An 18,701-nucleotide genomic window follows, 5' to 3' on the forward strand; every position below is an offset into this window, starting at 1 on the left:
AATTCATACATGTAAAGTTTCTGAAAATATTACTCGGCATACAGCAAGCGCTATTTAAACATTAATTCTGGCCGGGCACCATGGCTCATGCCTGCAATCCCAGCACTTTGGGAGGCCAAGGTGGGCAGATCACCTGAGGCCAGGAGTTCAAGACCAGCCTGAGCAACATGGCAAAACTCTGTCTCTACCAAAAATACAAAAATTAGCTGGGCATGGTGGCACATGCCTGTAATCCCAGCTACTTGGGAGGCTGAGGCAGGAGGATTGCTTGAACCCAGGAGGCAGAGGTTGCAGTGAGACAAGATTGCATCACTGGACTCCAGCCTGGACAACAGAGCAAGACTCTGTCTCAAAAACAAAAACAACATACCTTGAGTGAGGCATGCATCACACATAAAAGTTTCCATTAAGCTCCCATACAATAATGCTTAATATATACATACACATGTATCTGTAGGCATGCATACACCATCTGGTAAATATTTGACTATATAGCTGTCTGCCATACAGCCCTGAGTTTTTTAAAGGAGGGAAAAACTATATTCTTTTTGGTTTCCCAAGATCCTAGCAAATGCCTACTGATGTTTTGTTCAGTAGTAACATAATTTGTAACTTACTTTTTCAGAGAATTGAAAAAATAAGCTAAATTCACCTGAAACTGATAGGGTCACTTAGGCAGACAGGATTGTATTACTTAAACTCAGTATGGAAAGGTATCTGAAAATAATGGCAGCCTAAAACTATTTCCTAAATAGCATTTCGACAACATTAACTAAAGTCCCCCTTAATAATCCTTTTGCAAACTTATTAATAGGAAACATTGGCCAGACACGATGGCTCACATCTATAATCCCAACACTTTGGGAGGCCAGAGGAGGAGGATCACTTGAGCTTGGGAGTTTAATACCAGCCCGGGTAACAGAGTGAGACTCCATCTCTAATTTTTAAAAAAGGCTGATGGGGGGGACCCTTTTTCTTGATCCCATCAAGAGATTATCTAGTACCCTGATGCATAATGATTAATACTCTTCATAATTTATCCTAGCAAGTGTAACTGCAGACAATATTTTTCATTTAAATTAAGTATTTGGTCTTTTTGGGAATCTTAACTTGCCTCCAAGAAGTTCTACTATAGTGACTCCAAACCTTTTTGGAATTCAGGAAGCATTCTTATTGATTATAAATCACCACTCTTCTCAAATGTACTATAAGGTAAATATTTATTTATTTATTTATTTATTTTATTTTATTTTATTTTTTGAGACGGAGTCTCGCTCTGTTGCCCAGGCTGGAGTGCAATGGCGCGATCTCGGCTCACTGCAAGCTCCGCCTCCTGGGTTCACACCATTCTCCTGCCTCAGCCTTCTGAGTAGCTGGGACTACAGGCGCCCGCCACCATGCCCGGCTAATTTTTTTTGTATTTTTTGTAGAGACGGGGTTTCACCGTGTTAGCCAGGATGGTCTCGATTTCCTGACCTTGCGATCTGCCCGCCTTGGCCTCCCAAAGTGCTGGGATTACAGGCGTGAGCCACCGCGCCCGGCTGCTAAATATTTATTTTTAAACAAAAGGGTATGTATGTTCTCCAACTTAATCACAGACTGCCCTCAATATTCTGGACCTGCTTTTAATTTTACCAAATCTTTCTTTCATGTAAATAGAATTAATTTGTACCAGCCTTTATTAATTTATACAATAATGGCATAGTTAAATTTTGTTTTAATTAGGGGGTTGACAGGGACTCTAGAAGTGGTTTGCAAGTGAAGAAACTGAGGCTCAGTGAGATAAAATAACTTACTAAGTCTCCCAGGTTAGGCGTGTAGCCTTTAAATCCAATTCTTCTCTTTCGCCACACTATGCCTTCCAAGAAATTACTTCCATGCAATGAACTAAATAAAAATTGTTACACTATAGTGTCACTTTTCCCTAAAATTCTTAAGTCAACTCTATCCATCCTACTAAAAAATCACTTTTAAAACAGAAAGTGAGGGGCAAGGACTCCTAGAGGCAGGAATTCAAGGATACAGCTTTGCCACCCCAAGCTGCTGATTGCTCCACTGCAGTTTCTTAACAATTAAGATGCTTTATCTGTCATGCATTCAACAAAAATGTATCGAGTAACTGGTAGGTAGACTGCACAATGCTAATACTGATCTTTAAAAATAACTAATGTCCTAAAATAGTTCTGAAGATCCCTGGACAAGATCTATCACTTTTCTAATTCTTTGTATTACCAGTTCCTTTATTGTTAGTAACCACAAAAGCTCATAAAGCTGTTTTGAATTACATTTTTAAACACAGACGTGGAAATATATAGACACACAAGTATACTGCTGTCTCCACACATTCTCCCTCCCCTCAGTGGGCAAGACTCATACTTCATGCCCACAGAACACAATTATTATTCTGCTCTAAAAGAAGTGACCATCAACTACACAACAGATATATATTTTAAGTATAAATATCAATTATTTCTTAGTGTTCTAAATCTAGTATATTTTCTCAAAATCTTTCTAGAAGATAGCATGGCAGTAAAATCCTTAAGTGATTTACCTGATATCCTGGCATGAAGATTCTGTTTCATGGAAACAGCCTCAGGCTGAGAAAGGGACTGGAGAATTGTCAAGGCTGACCTTCGCAGTGCACTATCAAAAATTGTAAGCACTTCACTGGGGAACATGTTGAAATATTCCCCGATTTCCATGTTGGTCTCAAACAGAGTCATGGCATTAACCACAACTGGGTAATGAGCATCTTCATCCCTTTCCTTCAAGATTAGAAGAATATCATTCTTATGGTATTCCGAAACATATGACTCAAACACTTGACCAACCAGTGTAACTTGATCGCTATTCATCTTGAATCTAGGTAACTAAAGAAAAAAAAAAGGATCATATTATATATTTGATACTCAAGATGTACACACAATTTAACAAAAACGATTGGTTATAAATCACACTGGCTTTGGGTCATACTATAATCACAAAATAATATCTGAATTCAAATCTTAATGAAATCTGAATTATCTGTTACAGTCACAGTACATGTACTTCAAAAATGAGTGAAGTCAAATGTAAGTCAAAGAACTATGTTGGTACTGATTATCAAAATCCAAAATAGTTCAAAGCATTTCCCATCTTTTCCCCAAATTTCCTTCATATTAACCCTGCATTAATATACAGGCATGCACCTAACAACATTTCCGGACTGCACTTATAATAGTGGTCTCATAAGATTACAATACTGTATCCTTATTGTATCTTTTCTATGCTTAGATACATAGATACCATTGTGTTACAACAACTGCGAACAGTATTCAGTACAATGATATGATGTACAGGTTTATAGCCTAAGAGCAACAGGCTATGCCATATAGCCTAGGTGTGTAGTAGGCTGTATCATCTAGGTTTGTGTAAATATACTCTATGATGTTCACACAAGGACAAAATCACCTAATGACAAATTTCTCAGACTGTATCCCCATCATTAAATGACATATAATGGTATTTATTTTACATAATATATGTAAGAGGCCACATTCCATACACACACATTTGCTCTCAAGTATAAAATCTGAAACATATCTTTTGGCTTAAGTCAGTAACAGTGGAGTTCTTTGCAAGAGTCCTGGTTCTAGCTTTTGTTTATATGAACACAGTGTCATTCTTTCGTGTGCTCTCTCTCTCTTTAGTTATACACACACACTCATGTGTATTCTGCTATGTAACTGAAACACATACCATTAATCAGACTGACAGCCAGTTCTGACATGAATAATTAACAGACTGTCCTTAGAAATTCATACTTGGAAGTGAATTTGTTTCCTTCTTTCTCTTTCTTACCGTAGGAAATCTACTGGGTTCTGCAGAAACAGCTGTCAACAATGCAAAGAAAACAGATAAACATAGGAAGGTGAAAAAACACTGAGTCTTCAAATAATAAAAAAGTATTATTGAAAATAAATACAGCATATACCATTACTTTATCTCATTCCCCTGGCACTCTATTAAAAAGTATGTATCTACAGATAAAAAGCACCTATCCCCATTCTAGTTTCATGTATACAGACGGATAACAAATTACATATGTATAAACCCAATTCAATGTCCATTTCCTAATATCTATCATGTACAAGGCACTATGCTGGCAAATGAAAAGTATAGTAAAAGGTTCTCTATGTCCTCAGAAATCCAAGGGGCAAATAAAACGAAACAGTGCACTACCAGTGGTCAAAAATGCAATATGAATAGGAGTCAAAGGAGAGGGAGGTTAAATTTAAATGAGGTGACGATCTCAGAAGTAGCACTGGACAGTTAGAAACCAGCTGTCCAAATAAGAAACACTTATTTGGGGCCGGGCGCAGTGGCTCACGCCTGTAATCCCAGCACTTTGGGAGGCCGAGGCAGGTGGATCACGAGGTCAGGAGATCGAGACCATCCTGGCTAACACGGTGAAATCCCGTTCTCTACTAAAAAAAAATACAAAAAAAATTAGCTGGGCGTGGTGGCAGGTGCCTGAAGTCCCAGCTACTCAGGAGGCTGAGGCAGGAGAATGGCGTGAACCCGGGAGGCGGAGCTTGCAGTGAGCCGAGACCACGCCACTGCACTCCAGCCCGGGCACAGAGCGAGACTCCGCCTCAAAAAAAAAAAAAAAGAGAGAAACACTTATTTCGTTTGGAAAGAGATTGAGGACTGGAGAAGAGGTGTACTTAAATTTGACTTACTTCATTTGTCCAACATTTATTGTACTGGACTCTACAAATACGAATATTAAAGGAGACTGCTATAAAGTTCACAGTTTATCATCCTAAGTACGTGTTATACACGCTATTTGCTATATTTTGCTTTCTCTGAGAACCTACTATTCCGCAAGGTGTGAAACGTTTAAGAAGTACATATAGCAGTTAGGTCAAGAATCCTGACCACTATAGGAGGCCAGAGTGAGAGTAAGAATGAGTAAATGTATATCCAAAACAATGAGTGGAAATAAATTACGGCCTCCACGGTAATTTGTTTTTGGTTAAGCAATATAAATTCAGCCAAGTGTAAAGCAGAAAAAGCACTTGGGAAGGAATATCTCCACAATGTGGACTTTGCCCAAAAAAAAAAAAAAAAAAATCTGGACTCCCAACAGTGGCTACAAGAGAATCACTATGATTCTATTAAAGCATATTAAGTTTAGAGCCACAAATTTAGCAATTTGAAAAACAGCTCCACACAAGGCAGGAAAAGGGCAGCAGCAGAATTCAACGTTCAAATTAAGGTCAGATTAAATTTTGCCTAGTTAGGCTAGCATTTCTATGGTTATATGGACCATCGTTATTCATTCCCTTTCAACATCTATGCAAAACTGACTAATCAACTGTGTTATCAGCAGTTTGCTAAATCAATAAACGTACCTACTACCCACCCAGATAGACACTGGAGGGACTTTTTGTTTTGAGAAGGGTCATTTCACAACTTTCAAGTTCTCTTTCCTTTTCTTATTGAATATTTGGGGTCAAAATAAAATCATTTGCTTTACTTTGTCCTCTTGACCACAGCGAAGCGTCGAAAAGAAGACAGGAGAGTGCCTAACTGCACTGGCATCCCCCAGCTGTCTCCGGGAATCGCGGCAGCCCCGCCCCGCCCGCCTGCACCTGCCGGGAGCCCCGCCCCCTCCGCGCGGGCTGGCGGGACGCGCGCCCTCGGCCCCGCCCCACTCCCTCCGCCCCTCTCACTGCGGGGGCGCGCCATTTCGCGCCTCCGGGCCGCTCGGCTGCCCCAGGGGCGCCTGGCAAACGTGGAGTCGCTCGGTTTTGGAGGCATGCTTTCCAAACTTTCTAATTCACAGGGTCTTTGCACGCAGCCCCTGCCCCACAACACCTTGGCAGTCTCTGAGACTTCTGGGGCTCTTCTCCCGGGCAGCTCCCGTGCCTGTCCGGTCCCGGAGTTGAATAGTTTTTGAAGTAATGAGACGGGAACGAGACTTGGGACGAACTGGAGAAAAACATAACCGCGAAAGGAGGAGGCGGCTATCACTTACTGGCTGTGTCAGAAGTCGCCGGGAACGCGTTGCTCCCGAGGCCGAAGGGCCCAGAGAGCTCCAGCCAGGCAGCGGGTTCGTCTCCGGCGCAAGAAGGCTGGTGAGGCGGAGTGCGCGCGTGCACGTGGCCGCTCGAGGCGCCACCGGCCGCGGGGACGCGCGGGCTGTGTCGGGCGGCCTAGCGCCTGCGGCTCTGCCGGGCCTGCGCTCTCGACCGACGCCGGGCCGCGCACCGCCTCAACTTCCCTGCCCCGGCGGCTCTTCCGGATGGAGACGAGGCAGCGGGGCGGGGTGGAGCGGAGCGGGCGGATTGGGGCGGAGCCAGGAGGGTCCCGGGCGGGGAGAGGGGCGGGACCCGAGCAGTGACCTCAGGCTAAGTGGCCAGAGCAGGGTTGTGCGGCGGCTCAGATCGGATCTTAGGGTTTGTTTTTTGTCTGTCCAAGGAATTTGCCTAACCCAAGGCCACAGAGGATCTCTTCTGTGTTTTCTGACACAAGTTTTAGAATTTTAGGTTTTATATTGAGGTCTGTGATCCAATTAGAGCTAATTTTTGTCTGTGGTGCAAAGTATGGATCTTAGGTCATTTTTTTGTATGTGAATAGTGTCATTTGTTTAGAGAGCTTTCTTTTTCTCACTGAATAGCTTTTGCACCTATGTTTAAAATCAGTTGTCCCTAAAGCATCAGTTGTGGGTCTATTCTTAGACTTTCTATTCTGTTCCGACAATTTATTATATTTCTCTCTACAAAAATACCACATTGTCTTGATTCCTGTAGATTCGTAAGAGTCTTAAAATCAGATCGTGTTTGGCCTCCAATTTTTTGTTATTTTTCAAAAATGTTCTGGCTCATCTAGTCCCTTGGGTTTTCATATGAATGTTAAAATCAGCTTGTCACTTTAAAAAGTTGGGATTGTGATTGGTTACATTTCGTCTATAGATCCATGTAAGAATAATTTACATGTTAACAATATTTAGTAATGACCCTTAAAGTAAGCCTCTTCATTTATTTAGGTGTTATTTCACTCAGCAAATGTTTTGATCTTTTGTCAGGTCTAGTCTTATATAGTCCATTTTCACAGTGCTAATAAAGACATACCTGGGACTGAGTAATTTATAAAGGAAAGACGTTTAATTGACTTACAGTTCAGCATGGCTGGGGAGACTTCAGGAAACTTAAAATCATGGCAGAAGCGGGAGCAAACCTCCTTCTTCACAGGGCTGCAGGAAGGAGAAGTGAGGAGCAAGGAGGGAAAAGCCCCTTAGAAAACCATCAGATCTTGTGATACCTCACTCACTATCAGAGAACAGCATGGGAATAACCACCCCCATGATTCAGTTACCTCCCACCGGGTCCCTCCCACAACACCTGGGGATTATGGTAACTACAGTTCAAGATGAGGTTTGGGCAGGGACACAGCCAAACCATATCACCCTATGTCAGATTTATCCATAAATCTAAGGATGGGGGAAAAATATACTTCTTGATATTATGTAAATGACATTTTAAATTTTCAGTTGTTCTTTGATAGTGTCTTAGTCTGTGTTGCTAAAAAGGAATGCCTGAGACTGAATAATTTACAAATAAAAGAGGTTTATTTGGCTCACACTTCTGCAGGCTGCTTCTGGTGAGGGCTTCAGGCTGCTTCCACTCAGTGAAGGGGAGGCTGCCTGTGCAGATCACATGGCCAGAAGAGAAGCAAGAGAAAGGGGAGGTAGTGGTCAGGCTCTTTTTAACAATCAGCTCTGGAGGCAACTAACAGAATGAGAACTCATTATGCAATGGCAGCACTAAGTTTTCCTGAAGGATCTGCCCCTGTGACCCAGACACCCCCAACTAGGCCCCACACTTGGGATCAGATTTTAAGATGAGATTTGGAAGGGAGAAATACTCAAACTATGTCAGATAGTGTGTAAAAATATGATTGGGGGTTTTGTTGTTGTTGTTACAGGTTCTTGCTCTGTTGCTCAGGCTGGAGTGCAGTGGTGTGATCATGGCCCACTGCAACCTCTGTCTGCCAGGTTCAAGCAATCCTCCTACCTCAGCCCCCTAAGTAGCTGGGTGATATGGTTTGGCTGTGTGTCCCCACCCAAATCTCACCTTAAATTGTAATCCCCAGGAGTCTGGTGGGAGGTGATTGAATCATGGGGCGAACTTCCCCCTTGCTCTTCTCATGATAGTGAGTTCTCATGAGATCAGGTTTTTTGAAAGTGTCTGGCACTTCCCCCTCACTCATTCTCTCTCTCTGGCAGTTCCCCCTCACTCATTCTCCCTCTCTCTCCCGCTCTGCTATGGTAAGACGTGCTTGCTTCCCCTTTGCCATCTGCCATGAATATAAGTTTCCCGAGGCCTCCTAGTCATGCTTTCTATTAAGCCTGCAGAACTGTGAGTCAATTAAACCTCTTTTTGTCATAAATTGCCCAGTCTCAGGTAGTTTTTTATAGCAGTGTGAAAACAGACTAATACATTGGAATTATAGGTCTGTGCCACCACACCTGGCTAATATTTTGGTATTTTTTTGTAGAGATAGGGTCTCACTATGTTGCCCAGGCTGGTATAATTGAATTTTTAACATTAATCTTGTATTTGCAATTTTGTAAAAACCACTTATGAGTTCTAACAGCTTTTCTTGTGGATTTTGCTAGATTTTCTATATATTCAGGATTTGTTATCTATGAATAAAGACAGTTTTACTTCCTTTCTATTCTGGAGGCCTTTTATTTCTTTTTCTTGTCTTTTTGCACTGACTAGAAGCTTGAGTACGGTGTTGGATAAAAGTGATGAGACCAGACATCCTTTCTTTGCTTCTGATCTTAGAGGGAAAGTTATCAGTCTTTTACTCTTAAATATGGATGTTAGCCCAGGGTTTTTTGTAGATGCCCTTTATTAAGATGTAGGAAGATTTGAGCACTTTTATCAAGAATGAATGTTGGATTTCATTAAGGCTTTTCTACATGTGTGGAAATGATCACTTTGCTTTTTTTTTCTTTTAGTTTCATATTTTATATATAGATTGAATTGTGTCCCTCCAAAAAAGATATATTGAAGTTATAATCCCCAGTCCCTTTAAATGTCACTTGTTTGGAAATAAGGTCTTTATAGAGGTAATTGAGATATTAGGAATTAGGATGGGCAGTAATCCAATATGACTTGTGTCCTTATAAAAAGGATAAATTTTATGGCTGGGCACAGTGGCTCACGCCTGTAATCCCAGCACTTTGGGAGGCCGAGGCGGGCGGATCATGAGGTCAAGAGATTGAGACCATCCCGGCCAACATGGTGGAACACCGTCTCTACTAAAAATACAAAAAAAAATTAGCTGGGTGTGGTGGCATGCGCCTGTAGTCCCAGCTACTTGGGAGGCTGAGGCAGGAAAATTGCTTGAACCCAGGAGGTGGAGGTTGCAGTGAGCCAAGGTCACGCCACTGCACTGTAGCCTGGTGACAGGGCAAGACTCCGTCTCAAAAGAAAAAAGAAAAAGCTTATAAAAAGGAAAATTTGGGCACAGATACACACACAGCAAGAATACCACATGAAGAGACACAGAAAAGATGGCCATCTACAAGCCAAGGAACACCTGAAATTACCAGAAGCTAAGAGAGAGACCTGGACAGATCCCTCCCTAGCACCTTCAGGAGGAGGATTTCCCTGTTGATATTTGGATTTTGTACTTCTGGCCTCCAGAACTGTGAGACAGTAAATTTTGCTTGTTCTGAGCCATTCAGTTGGTGGTACTTTGTTATGGCAGCCCTGGGAAACTAATACATCAATTGATACATGAATGTTAGATCAACTGCGCGTTTCTGAAATAATCTCCATTTGGTAATGATGTATTCATCTTTTTTATATATTGTTGAATTTGCTAACATACATCAATGTTTTTATTATACTTTAAGTTCTGGGATACATGTGCAGAACATGCAGGTTTGTTACATAGGTATACATGTGCCATGGTAGTTTGCTGCACCCATCAACCCGTCATCTACATTAGGTACTTCTTCTAATGCTATCCCTCCCCTAGCTCCACATCCCCTGACAGGCCCCAGTGTGTGATGTTCTCCTCCCTATGACCATGTGTTCTCGTTGTTCAAATCCCACGTATGAGTGAGAACATGCGGTGTTTGGTTTTCTGTTCTTGTGTTAGTTTGCTGAGAATGATGGTTTCCAGCTTCATCCATGTCCCTGCAAAGGACATGAACTCATCCTTTTTACATGATTTTAATTTTGTAACTTCTCCCTTTAATTTATTTTTACAGTTTTTATTGTGAGAATAGTCCATGAGGTTGACAAAAACTCAAGCCATGCTCTCTAATAGATTCCACTCCCCTCCTCAGAAAAGAACTGTCCTCTTTAAACTCAGTCAGTGTTAAGAGGATCATTACTGAATTTACAGATTCATTCTGCATAGATTTGGCTTCCTAAGAAGAGTATTTAAAGGGTGGAGCAAATGGCTAAAAACAAGGCTCTACCAATCATTCCCCCTCCACCCCTTAGGAACACCAAACTTAACAACTGTCTACACAAAGAACACAGTTATAAGAACCAAAAATCAGATGAGCACTCACAGTACCTGGTTTTAACTTCATATCACTAAAAGATCAATGAAGAGGGTAAGAAAGACAGTCTTGAATTGCAGATGCATCCCTCCCCCATACCTGGGCAGTGTCCACATGGTGTGGAGAGAGAATCTGTGCACTTGGGAGAGGGATAGCATAGAGATTATGGGACTTTACGTTGAAGTGAGTGCTTCCCTGTGACAGTGGAAAGCAAAATCAGGCTGCACTCAGCTGAAGCCCACCCGCAGAAGGAGTGTATAAACCAGCACTAGCCAGAGGGGAATCACCCATCCCAGAAGTCAGAACTTGAGTTCTGGCAAACCTCACCACCATGATTAAAGTACTCTGAGGCCCTATATAAACTTGAAAAGCAGTCTTGATCACAAGGACTGCAACTCTTAGCAAGTCCTAGTACAGAGCTGGGCTCAGAGCCATTGGAGTTGTGGGGACACATGACCCACTGAGACAGCAGCCAGGGCAGCTAAGAGAGTGCTTGCACCACTGTTTCCCCAATTGCAGACTGCACATTCTGTGGCTCCAAAAGATACCCCTTCCTTCCACTTGAGGAGAGGAGAGGGAAGAATAAAGAGGAGCCTGTCTTACATCTTGGATACCAGCTCAGCTACAGTAGGATAGGTCACCAGGCAGAGTCATTAGGCCTCTTTTCCAGGCTGTAGCTCCTGGATAACATTTCTAGACCACACAGGACCAAGAGGGAACCCACTGCCTTGAAGGGAAGGACCCAGTCCTGGTAGGACCCATCACCTGCAAACTAAAGAGCCCTTGGGCCCTGAATAACCAGTAGCAATACCCAAGTAGAATGCTGTGGGCCTTGAGTGAGACTCAGACATGCCAGTTTCAGGTGAGATCTACCACTTTCCCAGCTGTGGTGGCTCTGATGAGAGACTCCTTCTGAGAAATGCAGAGGGAAAAGTAAATGGGACTTTGTCTTGTACTTTAGGTACCAGGTTGGCCATAGCAGGGTAGAGCACCAAGTGGGCTTTTAGGGTCCTCAGTTCCAGGATTTGACTCTTGGATGATATTTCCGGACCCGCCCTAAGCCAGAGGCAGGAGAATCACTTGAATCCAGCAGGCAGAGGAGAGCCCACTGCCCTGAAGGGTTAACCTCAGGCCTGTCAGCATTCACTGCAAGCTGACTGAGGAGACCTTTGGCCATAGGTGAACATTGGTGGTAGCCTGGCAGTACTACCTGTGGGAATGTAGTGGTGGTAGCCACAGAGTGAGGCTCCTTTGCCTGTGGAAAGGAGAGGGAAGAGTGAGAGGAACTGCATCTTGTGGTTTGAGTGCCAGCACAGCTCCGGTACAATATCACTCGAGGTAGATTTCTAGGGTTTTTCACTCCAGTCCCTGGCTCAGGGACAGGATCTCTGGACCCACCTGGGGCTTGAGGGAACTTGTCGATACCCTGAAGGGAAGGATGCAAGCCTGGCTGGCTTCACCTACTGCTAATTGTAGAGCCCTAGGACCTTGAGCAAACATAGGCAGTAGCCAGGTAGTGGTTACTGCAGGCCTTGGCCAAGCCCCAGTGCTGTGCTGGCTTCAGGCCTAACCCAGCATAATCCCAGTGGTTGTGGCCACAAGGGTGCTTGTGTCACCCCTTCTCCAGCTCCAAGCAGCTCAGAACAGAGAGAGAGAGAGAGGGAAAGGAGACTCTGTTTGTTTGGGAGATAGTAAGGTAAAAGAATGAGAGTCTGTCTGGTAGTCCAGAGAATTCTTCCGGATCTAATTGAGACCACCAAGTTGGTATTTCTGTGAGTTTGCAAGAACTATAACATTACTGGGCTTGGAGTGTCCCCTAATGCAGATACAGCGTAGATCACAACACCCAAGTCCTTTCAAGTATCTGAAAAGCCTTCACAAGAATGGGTGCAAACAACCCATACTGCAAAGACAACAATAAATACCTAATTCTTTAATGTTCAGACACTGACAAACATCCACAAGGATCAAGCCCATCCTGGAAAACATGACTTCACTAAATGAACTAAATAAAGTACCATGGACCGGCTGGGCGCAGTGGCTCACGCCTGTAATCCCAGCATTTTGGGAGGCCAAGGTGGGCAGATCACAAGGTCAAGAGATCGACACCATCCTGGACAACATGGTGAAACCCCATCTCTATTAAAAATACAAAAATTAGCTGGGCCTGGTGGCGCACACCTGTAGTCCTAGCTACTTGGGAGGCTGAGGCAGGAGAATCGCTTGAACCTGGGAGGTGGAGGTTGCAGTGAGCCAAGATCACACCACTCCACTCCAGCCTGGCAACACAGTGAGACTCCATCTAAATAAAATAAAATAAAATAAGGTACCAGGGACCAATCCTAGAGAAACAGCTATGTAACCTTTCAGAAAGAGAATTCAAAATAGCTATTTTGAGGAAATGCAAAGAAATTAAAGATCACACAGAGAAAGAATTAAGAATTCTGTCAGATAAATTTAATGAAGAGATTGAGATAATTAAAAAGAATCAAGCAGAAAATTCTTGAGTTGAAAAATGCAATTTACATACCAAAGAATGCATCAGAGTCTTTTAATACCAGAAATGATTAAGCAGAAGAATGAATTAGCTTGAATACAGGCTATTTCAAAAGAGACAGTCAGAGGAGACAAAATAAAAAAGAAGAAAAAAGCATAAAAAGAATGTAGCATACCTACAAGATCAAGAAAATAGCCTCAAAAGGACAAATCTAAGTTATTGGCCTTGAAGGGAAGTAGAGAAAGAGAGGGGCAAAAAGTTTATTCAAAGGGATAATAACAGAGAACTTCCCAAATCTAGAGAAAGATATCCATATCCAAGTACAAGAATGTTACAGAAGCAGATTTAATCTAAAGAAGACCACCTCAAGGCATTTAGTAATCATACTCCCAAAAGTCAAGGATAAAGAAATAATCTTAAAAGCAGCAAGAGAAATGAAACAAATAGCATACAATGGAGCTCCAATACATCTGGCAGCAGATGTTTCAGTGGAAAGCTTACAGGCCAGGTGAGAGTGTCATGACATAGTTAAAGAGCTGAAGGACAAAATCTTTTATCCTAGAATACTATATCCTGTGAAAATATCCTTCAAACCTGAAGGAGAAATAAAGACATTCCCAAAGTCTGAGGGATTTCATCAACACCAGACCTGTCCTACAAAAACATGCTAAAGGGAATTCTCCAATCAGAAATAAAAGGATGGGCTAGGCACGGTGGCTCACACCTGTAATCCCAGCACTCTGGGAGGCCAAGGTGAGTGGATCACTTGAGGTCAGGAGTTCGAGACCTGCCTGACCAATGTGGTAAAACCCCAACTCTACTAAAAATACAAAAATTAGCCAGGTGTAGTGGTGCCCGCCTGTAGACCCAGCTACTCGGGAGGCTGAGGCAGGAGAATCACTTGAACCCAGCAGGCAGAGGCTGCAGTGAGCCAAGATCATGCCACTGCACCACTCCAGCTTGGCAAGAGAGAGAGAGTTCGTCTCAAAAAATAAGAAAAATTTTAGAAAAAGAAATAGAAGGATGTTCGCCTGTAGTGCCAGCATTTTGGGAGGCCAAGATGAGTGGATCATTTGAGGTCAGGAGTTCAAGACCAGCCTGGCCAATATGGTGAAACCCTGTCTCTACTAAAAATACAAAAATTAGCTGGGCATGGTGGAACACACCTGTAATCCCAGATACTCAGGAGTCTGAGGCATGAGAATCACTTGAACCTGGGAGGCAGAGGTTGCAGTGAGCCAAGATCATGCCACTGTACTCTAGCCTAGGTGACAGAAAGAGACTCTGTCTCAAAAAAAAAAAACCAAAAAAAAAAAAAAGGATTATAATGAGCAATAAGAAATCATTTGAAGGTACAGAACTGACTGGTAGTAATCAGTACACAGAAGAACACAGATTATAACACTGTGATTCTTGTGTGTAAACTACTCTTAAGTAAAAAGGCTAAAGGATGATCCAATAAAAAATAAGTACAACAACTTTCAAGACATAGAAAGTACAATAAGATATAAATAGAAACAACAAAAAGTTAAAAAGTGGGGAGACAAAGCTAAGGTTTGGAGTTTTTTATTAGTTTATGCAAACAGTGTTAAATTGCTATCAGCTAAATTTAATGTGTTATAGTATTTGCAAGCCTCATAACTTTGAATAAAAAAATTAGTAGATATGTAAATAATAAAAAGCAAGAAATTAAATCATACCACTAGGGAAAATCACCTTCACTGAAAGGAAGACAGGAAGGAAGGTGGAAAGAAAGAGAAGACCACAAAACAACCAGAAAACAAATAACAAAATGGCAGGAGTAAGACCTTACTTACCAATAACAACATTACATGCAAATGGACTAAACTCTCCAATCAAAAGACATAGATTAGTTAAACAGATAAAAAGATAAGCCCAAAGATCTATTGCCTACAATAAACACAATCCACCTATAAAGACACACATAAACTAAAAACAAAGGAATGGAAAAAAGATATTCCAGGCAATGGAAACCAAAAAAGAGCAGGACTAGCTATACTTATATAAGATAAAATAGATTTCAAGACAAAAACTATAAGAAGAGACAAAAAGATCACTATATAATGATAAAGGGTCAATTCAGAAAGGGGATATAACAATTATAAATACATACACATTCTTTTCCTCAGCACACGGATTATTCTCAAGAATAGACCATATGTTAGGTAACAAAGCAAGTCTTAAAACATTTTCAAAAATTGAAATAGTATCAAGCATCTTCTCTGACCACAATGGAATAAAACAAGAAATCAATAACAACAAGAGGAATTTTGGAAACTATACAGACACATAGAAATTAAACACTATGGTGCTGAATGACCAGGGGTTCAATGAAGAAACTAAGAAAACTGGAAAACTTCTTGTAACAAATGACAATGTAACACAACATACCAAAACTTATGGAATGCTGTGAAAGTAGTACTAAGAGGGAAGTTTATAGCTGTAAGTGCCTACATCAAAAAAGAAGAAAAGCTTTAAATAACCTAGCAGTGCATCTTAAGGAACTAGAAAAGCAAGAGCCCTCAAACCCAAAATTAGTAGAAGACAAGAAATAATAAAAATCAGAGCAGAAATAAATAAAATTGAAACAAACAAAACAGTACAAATGATCAACAAAACTAAAAGTTTGTCTTTTGAAAACATAAAATTGACAAACCTTTACCCAGTCCAAGAAAAAACAAGAGAAGAGCCAAATAAACAAAATCAGAGATGAAAAAGGAGACATTACAACTAATACTGCAAAAATTCAGAGGCTTATTTGTGGCTTCTATGAGCAACTTTACACCAACAACTTAGAAGATCTAGAAGAAATGGATAAATTCTTAAACACATACAACCTACCAATATTGAGCCATGAAGAAATCGAAAACCTGAACAGACCAATAATAAGTCACATCACAGGACTCTTTATAGACATTTTCTAGCACCAGTCTGAAGCCTGATAGCCCTGCTGGGTGGCTAGACCTAGAAGGGCAATAACAATCACTGCAATCAGGCTCCAAGGAAGCCCCATCCAGGAAGGCAGAATGCACCACATCAAGGGATCACTGCATGGGACAAAAGAATCCGAACAGCAGTTTTTGAGTTCCAGATTTTTCCACTAAAATAGTCTACCCAAATGAGAAGGAATCAGAGAAACAATTTGGGTAATAGGACAAAACTAAGTTTCATATCACCCCCAAAAGGCCACACTAATTCCCCAGCAATGGATTCAAACGAAGAAGAAATCTCTTAATTGCCACATAATTAATTTAGGTTGATTATTAAGCTACTGAAGGAGACACCAGAGAAAGGTGAAAACCAACTTAATGAAATAAAAACAAAAATACAGGATATGAATGAAAAAATCTCCAGAGAAATAGATATTAGAAAGAAAAAACAATCACAACTTCTGGAAATGAAAGACACTCTTAGAGAAATACAAAGTTCACTGGAAAGTGTCAACAATAGCCTAGAACAAGTAGAAGAAAGGACTTCAGAGCTCAAAGAAAAGACTCTCAAATTAACTCAATTGACAAAGACAAAGGAAAAAAATGAATCTTAAAAAATGAACAAAGCCTCAAGAAATTTGGGATTATGTTAAATGGCCAAACCTAAGAATAATTGGCATTCCTGAGGAAGAAGAGAAATCCAAAAGTTTGGAAAACTTATTTGAGGGAATAATCAAGGAAAACTTTCATGGCCTCACTAAAGATCTAGACACCCAAATACAAGAAGCTCAAAGAACACCTGGGAAATTTATCACTAAAAGATCATCATCACCTAGGCACATAGTCATCAGGTTATCTAAAGTCAAGATAAAGGAAAGAATCTTAAGAGCTGTAAGGCAAAAGCATCAGGTAAACTGTAAAGGAAAACCTATCAGATTAACTGCAGATTTCTTAGTGAAACTCTACGAGACAGAAGGGATTGGGGTCCTATCTTTAGCCTCCTAAAAGAAAATAATTGCCAGCCAAGAATTTTGTATCCAGCAAAACAACTTCATAAATGAAGGACAGATAAAGTCTTTTTCAGGCAAACAAATGCTAAGAGAATTTTCCACTAGTAAGCCAGGACTACAAGAACTGCTAAAAGGAGCTCTAAATCTTGAAACAAAACTCAAAACACACCAAAATAGAATCTCCTTAAAGCATAAATCTCACAGGGCCTATAAAACAATAACACAATAAAAAAAAAAACCCAAGGTATTCAGGCAACAACTAGCATGATGAATAAAACAGTACCCCATACCTCAGTACTAACGTTGAATGTAAATGGTCTAAATGTTCCATTTAAAAATATAGAATGGCAGAATGCTATCTTCAAGAGACTCGCCTAACACATAAAGACTCACATAAACTTAAGGTAAAGGGGTAGAAAAAGATACTCCATGCCGGGCGCAGTGGCTCACACCTATAATCCCAGCACTTTGGGAGGCTGAGGCGGGCAGATCATGAGGTCAGGAGATTGAGACCATCCTGGCTAACACGGTGACACTCCGTCTGTACTAAAAATACAACAAGTTAGCCGGGCATGGTGGTGGGCACCTGTAGTCCTAGCTACTCGGGATGCTGAGGCAGGAGAATGGTGTGAACACGGGAGGCAGAGCTTGCAGTGAGCAGAGATCACACCACTGCACTTCAGCCTAAGTGGTAGTGCGAGATTCCATCTCAAAAAAAAAAAAAAAATTCCATGCAAATGGATGCCAAAAGCAAGCAGGAGTAGCTATTCTTATATCAAAAGCAACAACAGTTAAAAAAGACAAAGAGGGCATTATATAATGATAAAAGGATCAATCCAACAGGAAAATATCACAATCTTAAATATATATGAACCTAACACTGGATCTCCCAAATTTATAAAACAATTATTACTAGACCTAAGAAATGAGATAGGTGGCAACACAATAATAGTGGGGGACTTTAATACTCCACTGATAGCACTAGACAGGTCATCAAGACAGAAAGTCTAATGGATTTAAACTCTACCCTAGAACAAATGGACTTAACAGATATTTACAGAACATTCTACCCAACAACTGCAGAATATACTTCTTTTCATCAGCACATAGAACATTCTCCAAGATAGACCGTATGATAGGCCACAAAAACAAGTCTCAATTAATGTAAGAAAATCAAAATTATATCAAGTGCCCTCTCAAACCACAGTGGAATAAAATTATAAGTTAACTCCAAAAGGAACCCTCAAAACTATACCAATACATGGAAATTAAATATCTGCTCCTGGATGACCCCTGAGCCAACAATGAAATCAAGGTGGAAATTAAAAGTTTTTGAACTCAGTGATAATAGTGACAAAACTTATCAAAACCTCTGGGATACAACAAAAGCAGTGCTAAGAGAAAAGTTCATAGCATTATATACCTACATCAAAAAGTCTGAAAAAGCACAAATAGACAATCTAAGGTCATACCTCAAGGAGCTAGAGAAACGAGAACAAACCAAACCCAAACCAAGCAGAAGGAAAGAAATAACAAAGATCAGAGCAGAATTAAATGAAATTGAAACAAAAAATGACAAAAGATAAATTAAAAAGCTGGTTCTTTGAAAAGATTAAAAAAGGTTAGACCATTAGCGAGATAAACAAGAAGAGAGATCCAAATAAGCT

The 18,701-nt window shown here is 41.0% G+C and overlaps 1 protein-coding gene and 1 long non-coding RNA gene across 22 annotated transcripts in view, besides 2 other annotated features; one reads left to right on the forward strand and one right to left on the reverse strand.

The window, feature by feature from the left end:
* Positions 1-6,291, reverse strand: part of MCM9 (minichromosome maintenance 9 homologous recombination repair factor) — a 121,705-nt gene extending 115,414 nt beyond the window's left edge. For 9 of the 21 annotated variants that reach the window (NR_165493.1, NM_001378366.1, NM_001378364.1 and 6 more), the window contains exons 1-2: positions 6,023-6,291; positions 2,552-2,870 (exon numbers count right to left, since the gene is read on the reverse strand). Coding sequence is in view for 19 of the 21 variants with exons in the window: in NM_001378366.1 (NP_001365295.1) it covers positions 2,552-2,855 (304 nt within the window). In the remaining 2 variants the exon portion in view is untranslated. Of the gene's footprint in view, positions 1-2,551; positions 2,871-3,738; positions 3,873-5,862 lie in introns of all 21 variants that reach the window. The other 12 variants (NR_165494.1, NM_001378359.1, NM_017696.3 and 9 more) reach the window with 3 other exon arrangements.
* Positions 5,540-5,789: a silencer, noted in NCBI's record as "silent region_17506". NCBI's record gives its function as "represses an Ori minimal core promoter by ATAC-STARR-seq in GM12878 lymphoblastoid cells {active_cell/tissue: GM12878}" and the evidence as "EXISTENCE:reporter gene assay evidence [ECO:0000049][PMID:35858748]".
* Positions 6,040-6,469: a silencer, noted in NCBI's record as "silent region_17507". NCBI's record gives its function as "represses an Ori minimal core promoter by ATAC-STARR-seq in GM12878 lymphoblastoid cells {active_cell/tissue: GM12878}" and the evidence as "EXISTENCE:reporter gene assay evidence [ECO:0000049][PMID:35858748]".
* The window catches only part of LOC124901389 (uncharacterized), a 96,627-nt gene continuing 83,972 nt past the window's right edge, over positions 6,047-18,701 (forward strand). Inside the window, exon 1 of the long non-coding RNA XR_007059729.1 lies at positions 6,047-6,122. This is a non-coding gene — a long non-coding RNA (uncharacterized LOC124901389). The remainder of the gene's footprint in view (positions 6,123-18,701) is intronic.

This window comes from Homo sapiens, chromosome 6 (genome assembly GCF_000001405.40).
Source record: "Homo sapiens chromosome 6, GRCh38.p14 Primary Assembly".
Lineage (NCBI taxonomy): Eukaryota > Metazoa > Chordata > Mammalia > Primates > Hominidae > Homo > Homo sapiens.